At 35.5% G+C, this 26433-nt stretch overlaps 1 protein-coding gene across 10 annotated transcripts in view; it reads right to left on the bottom strand.

Moving 5' to 3' along the window:
* GPD2 (glycerol-3-phosphate dehydrogenase 2) overlaps positions 304 to 26433 on the bottom strand; it is a 186123-nt gene continuing 159993 nt past the window's right edge. For all 10 annotated transcript variants that reach the window (XM_047443963.1, XM_011510977.3, NM_001083112.3 and 7 more), the window contains 8 exons: positions 17748 to 17882; positions 17169 to 17344; positions 16489 to 16620; positions 15415 to 15573; positions 7706 to 7818; positions 7543 to 7621; positions 6919 to 7017; positions 304 to 3914 (listed from right to left, as the gene is read on the bottom strand). In XM_047443963.1, the coding sequence (XP_047299919.1) occupies positions 3789 to 3914; positions 6919 to 7017; positions 7543 to 7621; positions 7706 to 7818; positions 15415 to 15573; positions 16489 to 16620; positions 17169 to 17344; positions 17748 to 17882 (1019 nt within the window). In that variant the 3' untranslated portion in view covers positions 304 to 3788. The remainder of the gene's footprint in view (positions 3915 to 6918; positions 7018 to 7542; positions 7622 to 7705; positions 7819 to 15414; positions 15574 to 16488; positions 16621 to 17168; positions 17345 to 17747; positions 17883 to 26433) is intronic.

The raw sequence follows: 26433 nt of genomic DNA, 5'->3' as shown, positions 1-26433 counted from the left end.
CATAAAATAACATGGGCATTATAAAATTTGTGTTAAAACTGATAACAGCTTTACTGATTTACTGACAATGAAAATATATAGCATTTTTTTCTGTCAGAGCATTTATCAACACTTGGCAACCCTGCACTAACTTGACATGTAAGATGATCAAAATGGATTATGTAATCTTTCCCATTCATTTCTATTGATTTTAGTTATGATAAAATTCATCAGTGTGCCTGGGAACGCTTAGGCTGAAAGGCTCTGGTAGATTTAAAAAAATAAATAAATAAATAAGGAAATAAAAGGAAAAAAGAATTCAACTGAGTTGTAATAGGATGAATGTAATTGTAGAATAGGATTGCACAAATACAGAAGTCATGCCCTAAAGGCTACAGCAACAAATTAATACAAATAATTCTGGCAGTCTTATAAAATTACATCTATCTCTGTAGATATTTCACTTTTGTGTCATCAAAAACACAGTTTGTAAAAATATTTTCAAACTTTTTTTAAACTTCAACAGTAATCAAAGTTATCTGACTGCAAGTAACATCAAAATGCTAGCAAATAGACCATTTTAATCAGTTTTATTGATTCATGCTTCCAGTTCTTATTCAGTTAAAAACAAGGCACATTAAATACATCCTCTTATTGCTCTATAAATGCATGCAGCTCATTCTGTGTATCAAAAGTAATAAATAATGGCCATAAAACACCAAGACAGTTATAAAAATGACAACCCAGCCTCAAACATAGTATTTAACAGTCCAGTCTAGAACAATAACCCAACATGATACATAAAAGTGCCACATATGAAAACATGCGGTGTGTATATCCACTCTAGCACTGAGCTTACACTTGCTATTTAAAAACATAGTAGGGCTTTTTCACTCCTTCAAAAAGGTTGACATGATGCAAACATCGCAAGTTATAGCATCATTGACTTTAATATTACATTCATATGCCAAAAATCTTTACAGATACATAAGAGAAAAATAACATCAATGATGACTCCTACAGTATATTTAGTAAAAGTGAGAATGAGTTTTTTGTTGTACAAAAGAGGAAGCTACATATTTTGAAACAGACAAAGCAAAGCCAGAAACTGAAGCAGGATAGAGAGCATGCATTTAATAGCAGAAATCCTAAAGTTACACTCAGTATAAATTGATTGAAAGCAAGAATATTGCAAACAGCATGATGGATATGAGGCAGACAACCTTGGCTTAACAAATAATCCAGCATTATCATTATTGTTATGACTGTGGTGGGGGCTATTTAAAGGAGTATCCAACTCTCCAGCACAGATGGGGGTTCCTTCACCTGAATCCCCTCAAAGGCTCTTGAAATAAATCACTTGATAATAAAAGGCAATCCCTGCATACCCACCCCGACCCCAACAGAATCAACTGATGTCAAGTTTATATGCAAAGGGAAAAAATTTCTTTTGTGCTTGGAATGAATTTTGAAGAAGCTTATTCCCCCCTATTGCTTGTCTCCCTTTCTTAAATCAGGTAAAGAAGCTGTACAGGTTTAATTAAGAGCTTATACAAAATGCTGGGGTGCTTTATTCACAGTAACGGCTTGAAATCAGTTCATTTCCAAATTGAGTCTCTGGGATTGGTGAAGGACTCTACATTTTAGAAATTAGCAGATTTAAAGTAAAAGCAGATATGCTCAAAAGAAGAAAAGTGTGCTTTTCTTTGTCCTTAAAGGAACTTCATTCATAGCAAAGCATGCACAAACAAGGCCTGTTTAACAAACACAGATCTGCCCGGGCCCTACTGTAACAGAATCAGGGAGGGTACAAGTCATCGTTATCTTGATCTAACTAGAAAGAGAAAGAGAGAAAAACAGAGAGAGAGAGCACAAATGTACCATATTGTGTATATCATCTGGGATATTTTAAAGGACAATTTATCTACCTATTAAGTGTCACTGGGTTCTAAACAATGAAACTTGTTATCTGGATAGCAAAAAACACTAAGTTGTAAAGCCACAAGCTTCAATTACTTTAAAAAAATGAAAAAGCCAGTGTAAAAATTCACACTTTGAAAGAAAAAAGTTCACAGTGATACCTGGGAGCATCACTTGCTCTGTTTTAGGATTTCCCTTAGGAAGTGGCAAGCGTCTAAAACCTCATTTAAAAACAAAATGAGCTAAGATGCTGTCTTTCTCTGCAGTTTCTGTTTCTTTCAGAGGTGGTGGGTGAGTGCGTAGGTGAGTGAACCTCCAGTGTTTACATTGTGACATACAGGCTCAGAATCCACTTGAATAAGGCATAAAGATACTCTGCAGTATTGACATAAATAAAAATAACAGCAAAAAGTGTTTTATGTGCCAGTTTAAAAAACTAAGACTTCAAGTCTCTGCAATAAAAACCTGCCATGAAATAAAGTGTTACATCTCCTATTAGATACAGAACCTGATGTTAAAAAAACAACAACAAAAAAGTAAGTAGTTAACTTTACAAGAGGAAGTACGATTAATAAATATTCAGATAACTAGTTAAAATGCCACCAAAATGTAGCAAAAGCATCCCAAACTGCATTACTTGTTAAATTCAATACACACTGACTTTTGCTTTGGACTCTGTGTGTGTGTCGGGATGGGGGTTGGTGATTATTTTTCCATTTTTGTTTTTGGTTTACTGAGAATATTTCCATGGAGTACAGAAGGGGAAAGACTTTAAGCAACCATGATGACCTTGGAAACTGGTTATGTGCCTTATTTAACATATAATTATAATTAAAGTTAACTAAAGTCTATTCCATCTTCCTTTACTATGGTTGCAAGTACCCCCAAAAAAGATGGTAAGCTAGATTTGACAATACCACATGCTTCAAAATTTAGGCTTGGGAATTGAATCTTTTGTTATCATATGTGGATATATAAAAACACATTTTTAACTCTTAAATGTATTACTACTGTAATAATTAGATAAATTTGGTCTCATCCTATTACATCCAAATTGCCACTTAAATGCTGGTTTTAAAGTAAGAAGAGCAAGGATCTTCCTGGCAACTATAATAGTCAAAGAAAACCAGCAGTGACTGAAGAAAAAAATGAACTGCTGAGATGAAACTATCACTGTAACTCCCAGCAAATGTCAATGCTATCCTTATCTTATACCTGTGATTCTGGAAGCTTTCAGAGTTTCTCTTTGAGACTTGCTCCAGTAACCAGATCTAAACTTTTCCTTCCCTCTCCAGTTAGCCAGTCATGCTCTAGATATAAAAATGTGGAATATTGTTTGCATGAGGAAGGTAGACAAGCTGGAGGAAGATGGGGCTGAGAAATCTCCAGAAACACTATCATTTCAATAGGTAACTCTTTTTAATAACACATGCTGTCTATAAGCTTAATTTCTCCAGAAACATGATCATTTCAATAGGCAACTCTTTTTAATAACACATGCTATCTGTATGCATGTCACAAAATGTCTCCAGCTTTTTTCAATTTTTGCCAAAATATTATGTTTTTAGAACTCATTTAGAATAAGGGAATAAACAAAAAGAGAATGTGTCACATCTAACAGGTCACAAAACAGATGCAAAACTAATGTGCATTGAAAATGAGAAAAAGAAAAAAATATACTTAAAAGCTAGACTGAATGGCAAATACAAATAAAGTACAGCAAATAAAGCTGGCAAATACACCAACACCTTAAAGTTTTGGAATGTTTTCTAGTGTTAAAAAAGGCAGCTATCCACATTCATTATTTCAGAGTGGTTTCAGTCATCTCTGGTTGTTACATGGTGATTTGTCGTTTCTATGTTTGTTGGCTGTGGATTTACTGCCCAGACTCACAATCCTCCACAACTACGGTCCACTGGAATTGGAACTCTTCTGTCGAGGTTCTCTTCTGCAGTTTTCATTAGTATAGCAAGCCGGCTTCCAGATACCCTTCCTTTTTGAATAGCACTCATCAGCTTAAAGAGAAAATATGCAACAGATTCAGAACGCAGGCCAACTTACTCTCTTCTTCATGGCATCATAATCGTTAGAATTGCAGCAGACAGAGGTAATTAAGTGCTCCATCAAAAACCTTAACAAGTACTACAGCTCAGATAAGAAGAGTCTAATTTTTAAACGTTTCCAAAAGAGGGGAAGAGGCAGGTATTTCAACACTGCCACAAAAACTACATCCATCTAGTAAATCACCCTGCCTCTAAAAGCAAATCTTAATGCATCATTTTTTGTCCTTTAATGTGCTCAAGGCACTTTTTTTTTTTTTTTTAGCAACTTCAAATATTGGATCTTTAATTCCATTTAAAATCTTAAAAAGGAATCTCAGGGATTGAACAAAGACAAACCATGACCTATATTTGTCTACCCTTTTTTTTAATGTTACTGTACTTGACAACTTCGAGTCCCCTAAATCCAAATTCCTTAAAGACTTTTTAACGTAATTTACATTTAATTCCTTGAAAATGGACCCAGAGATCTACCTTAAGAATTAAAAGCACTCTACAGCCCAGATTTTAGCTAATTCATTTTTATCCAATGGATAAAATCAGAATTAGTCTTGAAATTACATGCAGGCAGCGGGCAAAGGCCTTTAATCTGGAAGGCACTTTGCAATTATGAGCATAGGGATTTTTTTCCTTTTCAAGTTTGATGTGGTTTCAACTATTTGCTCTTCTTGATCTCACTTCCCTAATCTTTTTTATTTGTTTTAAAAAGAAAAGATTTAGCTATTCATCATATAAATATATACACACATGCACACACATCATATATATATACACATTATATATATACACACACACACATTATATATATATATGATGTATCTATGTATGTATGTAAATTCTCAAAATATTTTTAGGGTTATAGCTTTTAGCCTATAGAGACACGTTGCTTAAAAAGAGCTCTGAATAAGAGTCAGAGACATCTGCCAAGGGGCTGGATCAGAATTTCATGACCTTATTAAAAGCTGTTTCACAAGCTATTGCTTATTAGAGATGGACTCCTACATGCAAAAGTGTCATTAAAACCCAGACTTAGAAATAAAGTCATATAACCATGAGATATCTATAGTGATCCTTCTGTGAAGATTAATGAAAAACCGTATCTATATTCAAAAAATATATTTAATGGGATAAACATGGGCTCTTAGTCTGCAGAAGAGCAAAATATTTTAAAAAAACTAAAAAAACCCTTCAAATATACTTTACATCTGAGGAATGATGTAACATAAGCAATGCTGACATCTAAAGACGGAACAATTTATTGTTTATTGCTTTGTCTCTGATTCCAGGAAGACCTGCAAAGTTTATCAGAGCTAACACAACTGACAAAGCTAGAGGTTTTTTAAGCCATAGACAGTATATGATGTGCCAACTTCTAAAAACTCAAAAGTTTTCTTTAAACACTACATGTATCTAGAAACCATATTACAAGAAAAAAATAACATTTGGGTGTGAATATATTTCATGAGGAATATGGTCAGCATTTTAAAGTTGAAAATCACACTGTGTATTTGTTCTTAGTAAAAGCATGAATAGTCCCTTTCATTTGGAATTGGACAAAAAATACTCAATTATTTAAAAAAAAAACTCTACAAGAAAACCTGCAGATAGTTTCAATTATCTCCTGCTTTTAACTCAACTGCATTCAAGAAAATTACTTAAAACCTAAACCACATAGCATATTCATAAAATCAGATTCTTATTGTTTCTAAAGTGCCATGTCTTTCAACCCTAAATTCTGCTGTTTATTTACAACACATGAAATGAAGCACAGGCCATTTCTTTGAAGAAAAGTTTTCTAACATTGTGAGGGCAACAATAAAATATTCTCCAGAAAAACTACACAAAAAATGCATTAAATGGTGTTTTAATTCCCAAGCATAAATTTTAAATTTAATTTAAAATGTGTATTTAGTTAAACAGTAAGCTAAAGAACCAAACATTCTTTTTTGTAATGCTGGACACAACCTGTGAAAATTTTCTGCATTTAGATTCAACAATGCTCTTATCTGCAGCTCATCTCCAGAGAGACAATTACCATTTCCTTTGCCTTGATCTTGTTTGTTTAACTTGACACAGTGAAGAAAGGGCTGACATTGACCAAAATCCCCAGCATTAATTTATTTCATGTTCAGCATTCATCATTGCCATGGTGCAAGCAAGACCTGGCATTCATTTGAAATACCTGCCCAAGAAGCACTACAGAAAAAAACCTAGCTGCTTGGAAACCCAATACATTCTTCATATGATCAGAGTCATATGGACAGTTAGAAATAATGTATGGGTTTGTTGAAATTTCTTTTAAGAAACGATATGTAGCATCCAGTTTGAAGTTAAAGTAACAAAATTTATTTCCTGCATGATTACAAAGATTAAACAACAGAGCCTTGAATAAATTAACAATTGGAAATGGAAATACTTAAATTATGTGGTCTTGACCCCAAAATACAAGTTTCCTTCCTTATGTTTTTCTAGTTCTTTATAATGACAGAATCTAATCACTAAATTCTCAAATGAATATGATTCATTAGTGAATAGAACCATACTTTTTAAAAATTTTCTACATAAAAGATTAGAAATCTTGTGTTGCCTCTTATGAAGTACAGGAAAAGAAAAAGAAAAGTAAGCAAAAGAAAAAGGTCCAGCATTGATATGCCATGGCATACGTCTTTAAAAAGCATGCTTCATATTCAACCCTTTATGATAAATAACTTGGATTTAATCTAAATTGCCCAACATAATGGAATGTTTCTTATACAAAAAAAGGAAAAGAATATGCACCACAGTAGAGCCTTACACTTGAGGGCAGACATATCAACCTCTGCTGGCTTCGAGCTTTCTTCTTCTTCAGAATAATCTGACAATTGTGTGGACTTAAATATCCATTCTTGAACATGCATTTATGATCATGACAAACAAAAGATAAAAGCAAATATCCTTGTTTCCTTTCACCACAACTCACCTGCAAAAATTCATTGAGTTCAACCTGTCCATTTTTATTCAAATCAACTTCATTTAGAATTTCATGGAGTGTATTTTCATCCATTTGGACATTGATACTCTAAGTAAAAGAAAAGCATAGAATAATACAGTTTGATTAAAAATTATGCATATGCTTTGGCTGGGCAAGGAGGCTCATGCCTGTAATCCCAGCACTTTGGGAGGCCAAGGCAGGCAGATTAGTTGAGGTCAGGAGTTCGAGACCAGCCTGGCCAACATGGAGAAACCCCATCTCTGCAAAAAATATTTTAAAAATTAGCCGGGCATGGTGGTGCGCACTTGTAGTCCCAGCTACTCTGGAGGCTGAGGCAGGAGAACCGCTTGAACCCAGGAGGAGGAGGTTACAGTGAGCCGAGATCGTGCAACACTGCACACCATCCTGGGCAACAGAGTGAGACTCTGTCTCAAAAAAAAAAAAAAAGAAAGAAAAAAGAAAAAAAATTATAAATATGCTTTCACTAATGTTACTAAATCTTTTAAAAATTATAACAAAAATATTACTTGTAGAAAACCCTAGATGAGAAAAACATCTAATATTTTTATATTCTTCTAGTATCAGAGGCTGACATCAACCAAAGAAAATTACCTCTAATACACGCTGAACATCAACAATGGTAATAAAGCCTTTCTGGTCTGCATCAAACTTATGAAATCTCTTCTTATACCTGGAACACAAGATTAAATAATGGAAAAATATACTTACATAGGCCAAAAAAAAAGAGAGATAGATAGACACTTATTATAAGTACCTGTCAATGTCTGAAGGCAGTAGGCTAATTTCAGAGCGATCTGTTAACTGTTCTGATCGAGATTTATAGCCCATTTCATAATATAGAAACTTCCTGGCTGTTTCAAGTTGTTCCTAAAACAGAGATACACACAAAGTTCAAAGACACATGGAAATATTGATTTTTTTCCTCCTTTTTTTACTGTTGATCTTCAGAAAATGAAGTTGATCCTTACTTATCTAACCAGCACAATTTTTTTATTTCTTCCAGTTTCATTGAAGTATAATTTATATTGAATAAAATGTACCTACTACCATGATTAAGATCTACAGCATCTCCATCACCCTAAAACTTTCCTCATGTCCATTTGCAGCTGATCCCTTCCCATGATCTCTAGCCACAGGCAAACACTGACTGGCTTCTTGTCACCAGAGTTTGCCTTTTCTGGAATTTCTTACAAAAGGTTTCATATAGTATGTAGTCTTTTGTGTTTGACTGCTTTCACAAAGGATAATAATTCTGAGATTCATTTATGTTGCTGCATGTTTCAATATTTTGTTTCTTTGTACTGCTGAGTATTCTTACACAGAAACTGACCGACAAAATCTACAGGATCAAATTCTTGTAGTTTGGTGACAAAAAAAAAAAAAGTAATTAAAGGTGAAGCTATCTTGGATTTGAACAACTTGGACTTGTCACTATAATGTGACATGAAGTGTGAAGGTATATCTCATGAGATTAGCTGTGCTGAGATTTTGCCACTGGGATTCTGATACTTAGGTGAAGTTACAGAGTCATGAGAAGAAATAAGCTATCCTCAAGTTACTCTTCCTGTTTTCAATGTCCTCAGTGTCAATTAATACTAACTGTTGCTGCAAATATTGTTTTTCTTAGTTTTCATCATGTCATTTTCCCATCTAAAAACTTCTGAAATGACTTTATTGTAGCATATATTGTTCACAAATCTCTTTCCTCATATATATATTATGCTACACACACACACACGCACACATATACTTCTCAACTGTATTGATGTGAGTTGGCCATGTGACTTACTTTGGACTGTGGAACATGAATAGGTATGATATATGCTACTTTTGAGTAAAAGCTTTCATGGTAACTTTATAGTTTTGCTTAGCATCTCTTACTCCTGTGCCATAAGAAGGGCACATCTCAGATGAGATCTGAAGCCAATCTAGAATGTGGAGAAGAGAGCCACAGCAGCTAACACGCAGCCTTCATGTAATGTGAGGGAAAAAGAAATGCTTGCTGCGATGAGCCACTGAGATTTTGAAATTGACTGTTATTGAGTATAACCTAGAACAAGTCTTAAATTCCCCAAATTCCCATCAAAGGATCTTGTGAACTCAATGGTTCCCAAATTCTGGTCTGAAGAACAGTGCCAGTGTGAAGTGAAATGAAGAAAATGAAGCAATGACACATACACTTGCATGAACTGTGTTTATATGTGTTTGGTTATGTTGATGATAAGATCCCTTATTGATTTTTCTTGAGAAGACAAACTTTTTTTTTTCTGAGACAGTGTCTTGCTCAGTCACCCAGACTGGAGTGTAGTAGCACAATCATGGCTCACTGCAGCTTCTACCATGCAGGCTCAATCCTCCCACTTCAGCCTCCCAAGTGGCTGGGATTACAGGCATATGCCACTATGCCTGGCTAATTTTTTATTATTATTATTTGTAGAGATGGGGTCTCCCTGTGATGCCTAGGCTGGTCTTGAACTACTGGGCTCAAGTGATTGATTCTCCCACCTCAGCTTTCCAAAGTGCTGGGATTATAGGCATGAAGCACTGTGCCCAGCCATCAGTTGATTTTTCTGACATGATTCCTTTCCTGCTTTCCTTTTCTTAGGAAATAGATACTAGAAACATTCTTCCTTCATGTTCTTAAATAACAAAATTAAAAATTATCAACGTGAATAATTCTTTGAGCTTAAAAAAGTAAATTTAAAATGTGTGTGTTTGTGTGTGTGTATGTGTGCATGTGTATCTCATATACAAAACTTGTCTGTGAAGTCTCCATCTCCAAGGACATTTTTCACTGGCAGATTTTTCACAAGAAAATCCACCAGTGGTCATAAATAAAATTATTTTGCTGTTCCACCACTTTTACCTAGCCATTTTCTACACAACTTGTTCAAAATCCATCTCCTTGGAAATGCCACCTCTGATGCTTCCCTGCAACAACAATTTCTTTCTCGACTTATGGCCCTTCATTGCATGTGTAATTTATCTATACTCCATCAAACAAGGAATTATGGAATTTCAAAGCTGGAAGATATTTTTTCATAAACGGTACTCAATGTACTTCCCTTACCCCACATTTCCTTTATAACATTCCAAAAATGGAAGAACAAAGCCTTTGTCTAAACAACTCTAGCACTGGGGAGGTAACTTAATACTGCTGAAAGTTACTTCCAATTATTAGAAGGTTTTACAGTGAGATTAAATCTACCTCCTTGAAATTCTTCCAGTTTTGGGGGGATTAACAAATCCTTTCCTAGGGTAGAACAAACCTAATGTTTTTTTTTTTTTTATCACAGCTTAATAAGTATTTAAAGATAGTATCATGTGCTTTCCTCCTTAGAGTTTTCTTTTAGTCTAGAACTACTATATAAAACATTATTTCAAATCCCTATACCATGTTGTATAATTTCTTCCAGACCACAACCGGTTTGTCATACAATACAATTATCAGAACAAAATACAACACTGCAACAGAGATCTGGCAAGTACCTAGAAGGGAGTAACTATCAGCATCATCAATCTAGATATATGATTTCTATTAATGCGGCTTAAGATTGCAATTGGATTTGGGGGCAGCCATGGTCCACTGTTAACGGCTATGCATTCACAGTTAACTAAAACCATATTTCTTTTTCACATGTGCTATTGTTAAGCCTTGTCAAATCTATCTTGAATGGATGGAATTGTTTTTCTACCTAATGTAAGGTTTGCCATTTATCTCTATTAAATTATATCTAATGAAATTTCACCCATTGTTTCAATCCATCATCAAACATTCACTCTCCCTCTGGTATCTTGTTATTGGTACATCAAAGATGCATGCCATCAACATTGTAATTTAACCATTTGAATCAAGGTAGACTAGGTCAAGATCTAGGACAAGGTGCTTATGACTTACTACCAGAGACCTCTTCTGAGGCCAACACTGTCATTTAACTGGTTATAAATCTACCAATTTTACAGATATCATACGGGACTTTCTAAAATGCTTTATAGAATCAAAATTCCCTAATCTAGCCATCTGCTTGCTCTATCTAAAAAGGAAATGAGGACCGGGTGTGGTGGCTCATGCCTGTGATCCCAGCACTTTGGGAGGCTGAGGCAGGTGGATCGCATGAGCCCGGGAGTTTGAGACCAGCCCGGACAGCATGGCAAAACCCTGTCTCCACAAAAAAAATTTTAAAAACTAGCTGGGCATGGTGGTGCATGCCTGTAGTCCCAGCTACTTGGGAGGCTGAGGTGGGAGAATCACCTAAGCCTGGGAATTTGAGGCTGTAGTGAGCCATGATCACATCACTGCACTCCAGCCTGGGCAACATAGCAAGACCTTGTCTCAAAAAAAAAAAAAAAAAAGAAAAGAAAAGAAAAGAAAATGATATATCTGAAATGATTTTGCCTAAGTGATTCCTTACTAGCTTCCGTGATCACTATTTCTTGATAAATGCTGATAAAATAAACTTAAAATGTCACAATCTAGAAAACCACGCAAGATCAATGCCAAGACCATTAGTTTCTAGGTTGCAAACTATATTTTTCTCTCCTCTCGTTTTTGAAATTTGGTATTACATTTGCCCATTCTGTCTTCTGGTCCCATTCCTATTTGCTACAGTATTTTAAAGTTCAACAGTAAGCTGATCCCAAGCAAGAGAATCTTAACTGCAAATTCTCTGAGTACTCTAAGGTATAATTTTTCTGGACTGGCATAAAACTCATTCAGAGTAGCCTCCTATTTCAATATCTATTCATTCTTACCAACATTTATATTTTGCTCTTTTCACACATAAAAACAGGGAGAGAGAAGGAAAAAGACATTGGTAGTAAATTATAAATTGAATAGTTCTCCTTACTCTCCAGCATTCAAGAATATGATGCCTGCCACCTTAAGCAATGATCTAGATTAGGTCTTATTTGCTTTTGTTTTTTTCTTCAACTTTTAAACATTACATTTGGTGCCCTAAGTATTTTTTCCCCAACACCCAAACAATACCTGACACTACTCATACACATCCACATTATTCCTGATATCGCTCCTTTCATTGTTGAGCACTTGGCTTCTATCTGTTTTACATTTGGTATTTATCAGCTTGCTTTAATCAGCCACTCAAAGTCTTCACATGCCTCCCATTTTTCCTCCTCATTGGAATCAATTTTGAAAAAAAAAAATGTATTTTTGTGAGACTCTCAGTCTACTTACATGTTTTCTCTTTATAGTCTCTGAATGAAAAATGGATCTTTTGTCTGAACATGATAAAATCCACCTTATCAAATCCTATGGGGCAGCATTTCCCAAAATATGTTCTAAGTACTAGCTCCCTTCCTACCCAGTTCTCCCAAAAAGTGAGAATTGGGTCTGTCTCCAATAAGTTCCTTTTTGGAAACTGAAAACATACATAACCATTTTAAAGGTTCTAATTGCAATTGCACTAAAGGAAGTGGTTTTACTTGTTTAACTCAGAATTTCTCTTTTGACCATGTAGTCATCCTTTCAAGTATATTAATTTGTACCCTGCAGAACACAATTTGGCAATGTTTTTTTTTTTCTCTAAATGTTCCTGCCAACTCCTCTAACAATCCCCAACTCCCTAAGACATTGCCTTCTTCCCTAATCAGTTCTTCCAAGTTGGTTGGATTTTGGTCTTGAGTGACAGTTTCTCGAAATATTTCTCCAAATTTTGGAAACTATGCATAAATGCCAGAGCTATACATGTGTTATAACAACCCAATTAGATTTTAAGATCTTAAAACTATGAGCTATTTAGTATTCTCCTAAAATATTTGGTGCAATGTTCAGTATACAAGTCACTCATTAAGTATTGACTGGTAAAAACAAGCACAGTTCATCTACGGAGAGTTATTTATCACCTTGTTCCTCTTTCACTTTTGCAGGTTAAATAATCCCAATGCTTTTAACCTTTTCTCAGAAGTCCAACTTTCTAACCTTTTAATTCTTTCTCCCCACTCCTTTGTTCTCTCTAGACTGTCCACAGCTCTCATTAATACTCCTACATCTCAGATACTGAGTAATAGCTTTAGGTCTTTATTTATGTTACTTTGTTAAGGGGGATGGGAGAGCATTTCTGAGCACATAAATCTGTTCATAAAATATGAACTGAAGTTAAATCTAGCTTCCTTAGTAGGGCCAAACACAACCAGTTTACAGAATTTTCTTCCTCCTTCCTACCTCCTACAGCCTGAATTCCTAGCATAAAATATGTTCCTGCATATTCAAATCATTCCGACCATAATTTTTGGAAGGACACATTATCCCCAATCCTTCTATATGGTAAAAAGGACTGACAGAAGCACAGGAGTAAGTTTCATTCCTGTGCTGCCTCTGTACGGAGCTTTAGCTAATCAAACTAAAGCTCAAGACTTCTTCAACAGCTATAAACCAGTACAGCTAATGCAGACACAGCAAGACAGGATGGAGAAAGCTTATGCTCTAGGATCAGAATACCTGGTTTCAATCCCTGCTTTACAATTGACTGTTGATATAAACTCTGAAAAGAGTCCTACTCTGTGAACCTGTTTTCTCAGCTATAACATGGGGGTAAATTTTATCCCTGTCAGAGGCATGATCAGGATTAAGGAACTCCTAAAATCAAACCCTTTCCTCCCACATTTCCCAGGTGACTGATATGTAATCATCTTTGGAAATCTATACCAGAATGAGAATACTTTAAAAACAGGCCATGTGACTAATTCTTTCCTTGCACTGTCAGCATGTATCATAGATGCCCAATAATGTTCATTCACTCATGCTATGTGAGAACACAGCAATACAATGTTTGTCTATAAACTAGGACACAGGCCCCCACCAGATCCCAAATCTACTGATGCCTTGATCTTGGACTTCCCAGCCTCCAGAACCATGAGAAATAAATGTTTGTTGTTTAAGCCACCCAGTCTATGGTATTTCTGTTATAGCAGCCCAAATGAACTAAGATATACTGTCTTACCTTCTAGGTCAAAACTCCCTCTTGCATCTTCTTACACCTCCTCTAGCCTCACTAGCTATTATTTTCTCTTTTTCCTGGATTCTTCCTTATATCCTATGCTTCTAAACTTTGGTGTGCTCCAGTGCTTGGCCTTTGGACTGTTTTCATCATCTGACTACATTAACTCCCTATATAATCTCATCCAGTCTGATGGCTTAAATATCAACTCAAATTTATATCTCTAGCCCAAGCCTTCCCTTTGAATTTCACACAGACATATCCAATGATCTGGATTTGTATTAATAAACTGAACTCTGAAGTTGTTAAAGAAGGGACACCAGTTAAGGGGAGGGAAGCTATTGCGGTAATCCATGTGACAGATACCGGTGACCTGAATCAGGGTGATGGAAGTTGGATGTGTTAAGAAACGGTTGAATTCACTTCAACACAAGTGTTTGTTAAAAAAAAATTAAAAATAAAATAATTTTTTAAATGAAAGGGTTGAATTCAGTTATTTAAACATAAATATGGTATGATTTGCTGATGGATTTAGATAGGGTATAAGAGAATGCATAAAGTATGATACTAATGTTTAGGCTTGAGTAACTGAAGGATAGCTATTTATGACATGGAAAAGTCTATAGGAGTAGTAGTTTTGGGAAGGTAAAAGGAGATCCAAGAGAGGTGGTGTTCCAGAAAGCAAAATATTGTTCAAGAAGGAAGGGGGAATCAATTGTGTCAAATGCTGCTAATTGGCCAAGTAAAACAAGGACTGCAAGTTAACAAATTTATTGAGTAACATGGAGGTTACTGGTGAGATTGACCAGAGCTAATGCAGCAAAGTGGTGGCAAAAGTGCCTAAATGAAATGGGTTCAAGAGATCCTGGGAGAAAGGAACAGAACCCAATGAATACAGAAAGTATTTTATGAATATATAAAAATGCTTCATTACCCTCTGCATATCACAAGAGTTTGGGTTAATTAAAAAACATAAAGATCTACTTAGCCTAACCCTGTATGTGTGTTTGTGTGCGTGTATATGTATGTATGTATGTGTTGTGCGTGTGTGTGTGTATGCATCTGAGCATCACCAGCTTTTAAAATTTGGAATATAAATATAAAATCTCAAATGACACAAATGATAAGCATTTAGTGCTCAGGCAGAAAAACCACATTTCTTACCAAAGGCACACTAGCAGGAGTTTGCATTTCACTGATTATGTTCCAAGAGTGTTTTCAATGAAAACCAGAAAAGGTTCCATACTACAATCATTATTATCTTTCTTTTTCAGGAATTATGACCACAAATTTATGAGCATTTTCTACAAGAGATTTTCCATAAACAACTAAATTTAAATGGAATATCTTTCCATTTTCCTAAGGCCTAACAATATTAAACACACACAAAGAAAAACTGGTAAGAAATCTAAGGTTATCATCAAAAACTACGCTAGCTTCTACTAACAAATTAAGCCATTCCGCGTTTACAATAGGAATTGTGGTTTTAAAGACTTCTATATAATACCTGCTTCTTATAATCATCCCAATTCAGTTCCCTGCCCATCAGTTCAACAATCCTGGGTAGGGCTTCCTCTGCTGCCTGGACATTTAGAAAGGCCAGGCGAGTACGACGTGAAATCATATCCACAGCAGTGCAGGCATACTCCTTAATCCCATATTTCACCTGAGTTTGAATTAAAGAAAAATTATTAGTTGAGACTCTTCTTTAGAAAATGAGAAATAAAGCTTCACTTAAAAAAAATAAATGTGTGCTTCACAAAGGTAATATTTTTCTTTATACTCTCTGGTCCTCCAGCAGGCATGAGACAAATAGTGGCATCACACAAGTTTTCCATCTGCCTGCCAAAGGAGGTTTGGAAAATGGCAAAAATTGGACAAGAGTTAATGCCTTTTTCCTGAATAGAACCTGGCATAAACATGCAAATTGCATCACTTCTCATTAACCATCCACAGTCATCACTTACCTCTCTATGCTTATACATAATGTGGATTTTAATTTACATAGCTGACTAGGAAAAGGACGAGTGTCAAAAAGTTATGATCTCACCTCTTTAGTCTGTATAGTTTTTTGTCTTAGAGTAACCAGAATATAGGAATCCTGAATTCAATCAACAAGTAAATGTTCACTGGACATCGATATTTTAAGGCACAGTGAATTACAAATAAATACAAAGCCTGGTCTCTGATTTCACAAAACTGGAGAGCTTGATGGGAAACAAGACCTAAACCTTTGAGAAACTGTCACAAGATATGTAGGTAGGACATGAGTGGTACAAACTTAAAGAGCTGCAAATGCACAAAAGGGACAACTGTGAATTAACACGTTTAGGGACAGTTTGATGGAGAAAAAAGAAACCTATATTTTATGTTGTTATTATTACCACTATCAATATCACTTCAGAATTAAGATTAAAATTTTATAAATAAAAGGATCTATATTGGAAAGACATAGTAGTCCTGGTTTTAGCTGACATATGTGCATTAAAACTTAGCTACATATAATTTTTAAAGATGACAAATGAACAGATAAATGGTATCCCATGGCAGACATGAAATTCCTATGTGACCATTCACATACCTCTGCTTCAATATATGGAAATTCTGACACAAGACGTACTCCAACAATAGGCCACCTTTTGCCAGTCACACTTGCCATTTTGGCCACCTCAAAGGCCTTATCACCATAGGTGGCGGCAAGATGCTGTGCCACCTAGAGAAATAAAGCTGCGTTAGGCAGGCACTTTGAATATCAATAGCTTCTAGGCACAAAGCAAAAAGCACACATGCTTATCTTGTCAGTTTTCTTACAGCCTGTAACTAATAGCTCTCGGAGAGTATTATATTTTGATTTTGTGGAAGGAAACCACTTGGGCTTCGAATGCTTAGGCCAGCACTAACTCTCTTACACATGTATCACTGCATCAATGACTGATGAAGCTTCAGCTTCATTTTGCTCCTGATACCACTTCTGAAGAACAGCCTTCTTCATGCCTGAGACAGAATTTGGGATGCCCTATACACTAGAAACAAACCAAATAAACTCCACTTTTTAATAAAATACATTTCATAAAGTGTACATTGCTTGTTGGGCAAGTAAAGCAAAGCAAGATCATCTTTTTTTCCTTCCATAACAGACTGGCAGAAATGTATTCAGCAAAAGGAAATCTCAATCAGGGAGACCTGATTGCTGCCAGTTCTGTCACTGGCAGCAGTGAGAGATTAGGTAAAGAGTAAGATGATGTGGCAATGCACACTCACCTCGCTTTCAAGTCCATAATCCTGCACAAGCCTAATGTAGAGTGTGGGGCTCCAATCTTTACCCCCTTGAAGGAAAAGCCCAACTGTTCTACTTGGTCCTGCTTTTAAATTATGAGTTTTGACAGCAGCATTTATGGTATCTTCTGCCATAGACCGATAAGTTGTCCACTTTCCACCTATAAAGAAATTGATAGACAATTCATCAGGTTGCCACCCCTTATTTTTCTTATAATTAACCATTTATCAACTTACCAATAACAAAATTTTCCTGTTGTTTGTAACAAACATGGGATTGTGTAAAACTTAATTCAGAATAAAAAAAATGCTTGTTCAATAAAGTTAAAAGAGATTCTGGCAGGACAATTTAAGTCAAACTTATATCTAAAGCACATCCAAATTACAAGACAGAAGGCCAGGTGTAGTGGCTCATGCCTGTAATCCCAACACTTTGGGAGGCTGAGGTGGGAGAATCACCTTAGTCCAGGAGTTCAAGACCCTCCTGGGCAACATGGTGAGACCCTGTCCCTATAACAAAAAAAAAAAAAAAAGAAAAGAAAATAACAAGGTAGTATCTCATACCTGCTATAGTAATAAGGCCACTCTCACTGATATCAACAACATGATTTCGGGAGATAGACTGAGTATCTGCAGATTTGGGGTCTGTAACAAGAGGACGGATTCCACTCCATGCTGCCAGGACATCCCCTCTTCTCACTGGTAGGAATCAATGCCAAGGGTTATGAACATTGCTCAAAAATATTTTGATAAAAATATTAAACAGTTAATAAAAAGAGTTCGGTGACAGGAATACACATGTGTGCACTTTAAAAAGGAGAGAAAGCCTAAAGATGAGAACTAAGTTTGTGGATAGGTACAAGAAAAACTCATAAAGAATTATTCTGTTACAAAGATAATTTCCATGAAAAAGTAAAGAACTTTGGAAATCACTGACATTGATACCACAGAGGAAGCAAAAGAGGCAAATGTTAGCAACCTTCCAGCTGAAGCAACCTGGAGCAGTTAGAAAAACAAGAAAGAAAAAAAAGCAGAAACAATCAAAACCAATGCTAACGATGCATGAATTGTTAAATTTCCTTCTAGAATACATCTTCCTATCTCTTCTCAGGGAAGACAAAGATCCTTATTAAATTAAACAAACCTGTAACAGGATATTATATTTTCTCCCCTCATCAATACCACCCTCTTCCTGAGTGTTTACAGCAGGCCTACCACTGTGCAAACACTTGACATAGACATCTCATTTAATCTCACAAAGCCCTATAGCATTGGTTATTATTATTCTCACCATACAGATCAGAAAACAGATGAATGCAAACATTTAACAAACCAAGCTGGGCAACAAACCTGGCCAAGGCAAATATCTTATATATGGTAAAACAGCATCAGAACCTTCTTCCTTCTGAGTTTAAGGTCCATATTCTTACCTCTTAAATTGTACTGTCTCTCAACTTCTGACAACTTCCATACTCTGCCTTTTTTCTTTTCTCATTCCATTATTTTTAGCACTGACACAGAAACAGGTATACTGGCTTCTCCCAGTAGGTACATTATACTTGAATTATATTATATGGAAGTTCTTTCAATACTCAAGATGCCATGAAAATATCTTTACTATCTCTGTCAAAATACAATGCCCAACTATATCCAGGCTGATTAAGTTTTCATTAGAATTAGACAGCTGTTGAACAGCACTCATTACTAATCTAAAAATGACTTAAGAGAGAAGGTGAGCTATGGTTCTCATCTATCAGGTACAAGGGCAAGACCCTAGGGCAGAATTTTCGGAATCTGCCCTTCTTCATGTAGACCAGCTTCAGGAATGGCTTAGCTATGGGAGCTGACTATGGGCACCAGACTGAAAGTTGCCTGATGATATAGACTACTGGGAAAATAATGCCTACCTGGTCCTGCTGCATTTATTGTGGTAAATCAGCTAATCCATCGCTGGATAACAGAAACATGAGTATAATTTTGCTTCAACTGTGACTTGGGGTCATGTGTGCCCTCCTTCTTCATCATACTCCCAGCAATTACCCATACTGATAAAAAATTGACTGTATATAGTCTTGAAAACTTCAAGATAATGGGAAAACTGGATCTCCACATGTGAAAGAATGAAGGTGGACCCTTATCTTATATCGTATACAAAAATTTACTCATAATGCATCAAAGGCCTAAACATAAGAGCTAAAACTATAAAACTCAGAAGAAAACATATAAGAAGAGCTTTATGACACTAGATTTGTCAATAGTTTCTTGGATGTGACATCAAAAGCACAGGCAACAAAAGAAAAAAATAGATAAAACACACTTCATCAACATTAAAAAGACACTATTAACAGAATGAAAAGGTACCTCATAGAATAGAGAAAATACCGGTAAATCATATACTGATAAGAATATATCATATATGCAGAACATATGAGAAATTCCTAAAATGCAACAACAAAAAGCAAACAACTTGAATTAAAAAATGAAAGACTTCAATAAATATTTCTCCAAAAAAGATATACAAATGCTCAATAAGCACATTAAAAGATAGTAAACATCACTAATGATTCGGGAAATGCAAATGAAAACCACAATGAGATACCACTTCACACCCATTAAAATGGATATTATCAAACAAAAACAAAACGAAACAGAAAATAACAAATACTGGTGAAGATGTGGAGAAACTGAACCCCCTGTACACTGCTGGTTAGAAGGTAAAATGGTGCAGCTACTATCAAAAATGTATGGCGATTCCTCAAAAATTAAACATTTAGAATTACCATAAGATCTAGCAATTACACTTCTGGGTATATACTCCAAAGAAATGGAGCAGAGAAAAGTTTTACAACCTTGTTCATAGCATTACTAACAATAGCCAAAAGGTAGAAGCAAACCAAGTGTCCATCAACAGATGAATAAACAAAATGTAACATACACTTACAACGAACTATTATCTAGCCTTAAAAAGGAAGAAAATTCTGACACATGCAACATGGATGAACCTTGAAGACATTGTGCTAAATAAATAATCCAGTCACAAGAGGACAAATATTGTACAATTGCACTTCTATGAGGTACTTGGCGTACTCAAACTCATAGGAGCAGAAAGTAGAATGGTAGTTGCCAAGGGGTTGGGAGAGGGGGAATAAGAGTTACTATTGAATGGTTACAGAATTTCAGTTGAGGAAGACAAAAATGTTCTGGAGATGGAAGGTGGTGATGGTTGCATGACAATGTGAATGTACGTAATGCCACAGAACTGTACACTTAAAAATGGTTAAAATGGTAAATTTTATGTTCTGCATATTTAACCATAATCTAAAAATCAAGATAAAAGGATAAACTGATATAATTCAAGTCTCAAATTACGAAAGGGTTAAGGAAATATTTTACATAGAATATGGAAGTATCAGGACCTTTATTAGCCCATACCATGTCCATGTTTTAGTTCAAATCCATAAATCCCATTCAGGGATCACAGTTTTGTGAGCAGAGGGCAGGGCTGGATTTCAGTTTCCACTCAACCCTTGGTCATGTGCCTTTGTACAGTAAACATCCTGTATATTTATATACAACACCACTTGAAAAGTAGTTAGGTATATATCTAGCAGACTCTTTGTGTAAAAAGTCACAAAGACTCCTTGAAATGATTGGAACAGTTCTTACTGAAGCAAAACAAAATAAAACAAAACCATGCCTTACCAAGTATAAGCAAAACAAGCTATGTTGGATGACAGATAATTTCTCCATCTTGATCTAAAATGAATAATAGGTTTCTGCTAAAAATAAATTCAACTCAAGTTAATCTGGCATATTTTACTATAGATTCTTAAAGGCTACACTCTTGACATAACTATAATCTGAAAGAGTAGATACCCATCACCTCTACAGGATGTTTAATCAAACCCATAATCCAAACACTGTAACTGAAATACCAACATAATTAACTGGCGAGGAAAGCCTAAGCCTTCTCAGTCTTACTAACTGGAGACAATACAGGATCTCAATGCTGGGATTCCATCTCTAGCTCTGCCCCCTCTGATGTGTGCATTCTCTTAAATAGATTTAATCTGGATGGCTTCTGTGGAATGGGGATTAATTCCTGCTTTACACAATTTTACCAGTCATATAAAACCTCAAAACAAGTTGTAAAAAGTGTTTTAATCGTTACCAAAAACCTAACTAGGAAATTACCACTATTTTCCATTAGAGTTCACATCACCCTCTGAGATAAAAATAAAAGTTAGCAAACCCGCTTACAACGTCATTGTGGTCACCCCACAGTCCCTCTAGTGTCTGTGAAATTCCTTAGGTAGCCACACTGATCAGGAATTTGGTTCCAACTCTTGAAGCTCTCTGACTAATTTTAAAGTTATTTGATGGAAAATTAGGCTTTGCGAGTAAATTTGAGGCATATGCAAATAATCTGTGGCAAATGCCTTACCTTTTCTGTTATAACAGGCAGAAAAGCACATCTATGAAATTGTATTGTCTGAAACTGAAACATTCAAGTTTTTCATTCATCCAGGAACACTATGTAAAACATTATCTATATTGATACCATTTTTAATACTCCTGGAGTTGATAGTCAAAAATAAAAAAGAGTTAAGAAAAGATTCCGAGTCACAAAGGGTTCATAATGTGTTAAGAACTTTAATTTACTTTGCTTGACATCTTAGGATTCAGCTTTTTAGCCTGAGAATTATATCAGTTGAATGTTGGGAATAAATTTATTAAAAATAATACATTTAAGGATGATCAAATTTCCTTATTTAAAATATGAATTAGTCTTTATGGCCTACAGGATTTGTACAGTATTAGACCAGAAGGTGGTTGGATCAGGTTATCTACAACAGTTCCCCTCCCAACCTTGAGATGTAATGGTTTTTATGGATGATTCAAAACTCTATTTGCCACTGAAGTATTAAGAGCTTATACCTCCTCACCACTCATTCAGTAATGACTCCTCAGGACCTTGGGTATAATCCATGTCTAAGGGGCACAGCACAGCTAAACATGTGAGACATTAATTCCAACTTCTTGAATAAAAGACAGCAACTGACGAAGCTAACAGGTTCCTCTCCATATCACGTATTTACCCACAGTGGAAATTTTGTACATTGTTAAACCCTAACGAAAGTTTTTTCAAGAAAGATTCAAGGTAGTAGATGCTAGTCTGAATAAAGTATCATTGGGATATCTATAAATTCTGCATGCTGCTGTTGCAGCCATGAGGTAACCACAGGGGAAACAACCTTAGGATGAAACCACCTTGGAGGATGGCAGAGTGAAGATAAATAAGAGTAATATATCTTAGACCCTGACAAATCATTAATCACCTCTTGAGGCTTGTTGTGTCTGGAGTTCTTGTTTTACAAGATAATGAATTTCTCTATTTTACTTAACAAACAAAAAAACCCAAATTCAACGATTCTATTAAATTTAGTATGTCTTTCTCTAAGTGTATATTTAAACACCTCTAGATTCTCAAGATCAGCACTGTCCCATGGACTTTACTGCAGAGATGGAGACATTCTGTACATAGCTCCACGATCCAATTCGCTAGCCATTAGTAGCATGTGGTTATTAAGCGCTTGAAATGTGGTTCACCTGACTGAGCAACTGAATTTCAAATTTCAGTTAATTGTAACTAATTTAAATTTAAATAACTACAAGTGGCTGATGGCTATCATATAGCACAGAGCAGCTCTACAGTAAAAAGCCTCCAAGCAGTAGATCTCAGACTTGTCTGGTAGATTAAGCTAGTTATTTCTACTGGCCACCTTGCCTACATCTCCAACGGAGCATCCTTTCACTGAAATTGGACTGCACTTCCTTTGCTCATGAGAATAAAATAAAATCTGCTGTAATAGCTCCTAAACACTTTATTGTCACTCATGTCAATATGTACCATTTCAAGCTTTCCTCCTCTCTTGCTAATTTCATAAATTCAAACAAATGAAACATATTTTCATTCAATTAAGTACTTCCACCCTCAAGTTCTCACCCAGAAACCAGTTTTACCATACAGGTTACAGTCAAGATTAATAAATGACCATCACCCACTTTAACTGTCCATGGTATAACATGTGAAGAAAATAACATAACTCATGGCCTCTATGCTTTACAGCTCAAATTTTTTCTAGTTCTCATACTGCCAGGATAGCTTAACAAAATTTCATTATTGCTTCATCTCTTTCTCACCATGCTGAAAGTCTCCAGCAGTGTCAATTATAATATTTTTCAATACCCCAAATACTGTATCTAGTAAAGGGTCATATACAGTTATCAGTAAATATTAAGTGGAATATTAAAGCATTCTCTAAACTTTTTATATCAAACTATAAGAGCTGGTATTACCAAAACCAAAGCAAGAACGCTTGGGCCTCTGAGATAATATGCTAGGCTTCATGTAGGTTTCTAGTGACTATATATTGAACAACTGGATATTCCCTTCCAAATTACATGAATGCTTTAAATAAAACAAGATGAAAGAAAAAAACTACTATTAAATAAAGTTGAGAAAAATCCATCATTAAAGACCACTTACTAGACTGGCTCACCTAGAGGGCACCCAGTTAATTTTTTAAGTGACAACTATAAAAGTACTTGGCAATATTAAAGTAAAATACTCTTACCATCATGTTTAAGAATCATTTGTATTACATTCCCAAAAAATAACTCATTCAGATTTTAGTAATGTAATATGTAAAGGGTAAAATATAAATAGAAAAGTTGAACAGACAATTTTCACGGCTAATTGAAAAAATTAAGTATGATGTGATTATTTCAAACTATAATTCATATTTTTACTCATACTTGGCAAGATAAGTGTTTGTTTTAAAAATTAGTAGAAAATAAAGCCCACAGGAAGTGACAATTAAGAGGTAAATGTGCGGTTTAGCTTCACATTAGTTATTTAGGCATATGTTTTGGGGGTTTTTTTTTCATGTTTGCCACTTTCAAAAAACAATCAATAAAAGGCATGTGAAAATATCTAAATGAACACAGGGGAAATAGTGTCAGAAATCAATACTTCTCTACCAGCATGTTTAACCTGCTGAAATGAAGTGTTAATCACAGAAATAAGATACCATATTACATTTATAAACTAATGAAACTAGAAAAAGCAAAGCGTGTGACACTATAATTAAACAGCTGGAAGACATCCAAGCCTGTGTAAGTTGATAACCCTGGTACAATCTCTGGCAATGAAAAGGCAGGTCTGCAGTGAGTTGATATGGCCAGCTCAGTTGTTAATTGAATAACAGGCAATCTATAAACACTACTAATTGCCTATGTGAAAACCTGTGTACAAGTAGAGAAGCTGCCTAAAGAAGTACTCCAGGAAAAACTACATGGATAAAGCACTCAGCAAATCTTCTGTCTCTCTCAATCCTGTTAAGTCATAGCTTAGTTTTGTCACTGCATCCTTCTGATTAACCTCTACACAGCAGACTTAATGATACATTTTTCAAAAGATCATTTTTCTTCCTAACTCAATATGAAACGCAGAACTATCAATTACCCATTTCAGAAAAGAACAAACAAGTAATCTAGAAAATTCAGCCTGTGAATGGAAAGCTTTCTAAATTGTAAAAGAAGACATGGTCTTATTCCCAACAGGCAAAATGCTTTTCAGAATTGTTCCGACGCATTTTGCAGAAGTGTGGCAGCTGCTGTGAATAGCATGGAGTGTTAAGATTTGACACTTTTTTTTCTTAAGGATATAGCCATTTGGGGAGGCTCAGAAACTGTTGTTGGAATTTTACTTACCCATTTAATAAATCCTTTTAGAATGATTATTTCAACCCTGGTGAATGTAAAACACTTCAAAACTATTGCTCTAGGATCTAAATGAAATTTTATTTTTTAAATCTGTAAAGAAGACTGGCCCAAGGGATTAGTTATGAGACAGGAAACCTCCTCTAGTTTAACATTCAAATTCAAATAAGGTCAGTGCAGAGCAAAGGTCATTGTCATGCTAAAGGTATCTAGCAGCTTCCATGAAATGAATTGATAAGCTTACCACTCCCTAGTGCACATAGTATCCCATCAGGAAACCCAGAACGAACAATCAGAGTACTGCACAATATTTAGAAGCACAAGTATTAGAACCAGACTTACTTATACTCAAATTATGGCTCCAATACTAACTAGCTATAGGCAAAAAGCTTAGGCTGGGCGCGGTGGCTCACACCTGTAATCCCAGCACTTTGGGAGGCCAAGGCGGGTGGATCACGAGGTCAGGAGTTCGAGACCAGCCTGACCAACATGGTGAAACACAGTCTGTACTAAAAATACAAAAATTAGCCGGGTGTGGTGGCGTGTGCCTGTAATCCCAGCTACTCAGGAGGCTGAGGCAGGAGAATTGCTTCAACCCAGGAGGCGGAAGTTGCAGTGAGCCGAGATCACACCACTGCATACCAGCCTGAGCTACAAAGTGAGAATCCATCTCAAAAAAAAAAAAAAAAAAAAAAAAAGCTTAATGTCACTGGGCCTCAGTTTCTTCAACTAGAAAGTGGGACTTATTAAATAAATCTCATAAGGTTGTTAAGGAGGAATCAAAGATCTAACAGGTAATATGCTTGCTTAGCAGTGTCTCACATAAGAAGTGCTCAATAATAGGAAGTTTTTAAAAATGAGGCATATAACTATAAATATTAAAATATGTTTAACAGTAGCATGTAATTGAATAACTGAATGGTGGCTAAAGCTGAGCTTCTCTTTCACATTTCATCAGCCTAGAAGAGAATAGTGGCTTTCACCAAAATTCCTTGAGAAAAAATATGGATTTGACTGGCCTCATTTTAAGATATAGACAAACTTCAGCTAACTGATACTCTTTACTAAGATCAAGCATAATTCCTCAAATATGAATATTTCAGTCAATTAGAAATAAGAATGAAAAGAAGCTATAAAGAATCACTGTTAACTATTTTTTGAAGAGTAAGTTTATAAGTAGAAAAGTTGTGACAGGTGCCGCACACAGGGAAATCAATAAAGTCTAGGAAAGGGCTGTCATTTCTGCTTTTTACCCTGGAGGACTCTTAATCTCAAGATGTCCCCAGATCACCAGGAGGAAGACCTGGTTTGCAATGTTTAGATATTAATTTCAAACACTCTTATCAAACATCAGAATTAACAATAACTATTTGTTAGTTTCACCAATTCGCTGACTACAAAATGGTATGTTAATTGAAAAGACTTTTATGGACCAACCAGGTATGCCAAGTCTTCCATGTATTTA

Source organism: Homo sapiens, chromosome 2 (assembly GCF_000001405.40).
Source record: "Homo sapiens chromosome 2, GRCh38.p14 Primary Assembly".
Lineage (NCBI taxonomy): Eukaryota > Metazoa > Chordata > Mammalia > Primates > Hominidae > Homo > Homo sapiens.
Note: the sequence above shows the minus strand (reverse complement) of the source record. Positions and strands in the feature narration are given on the sequence as shown.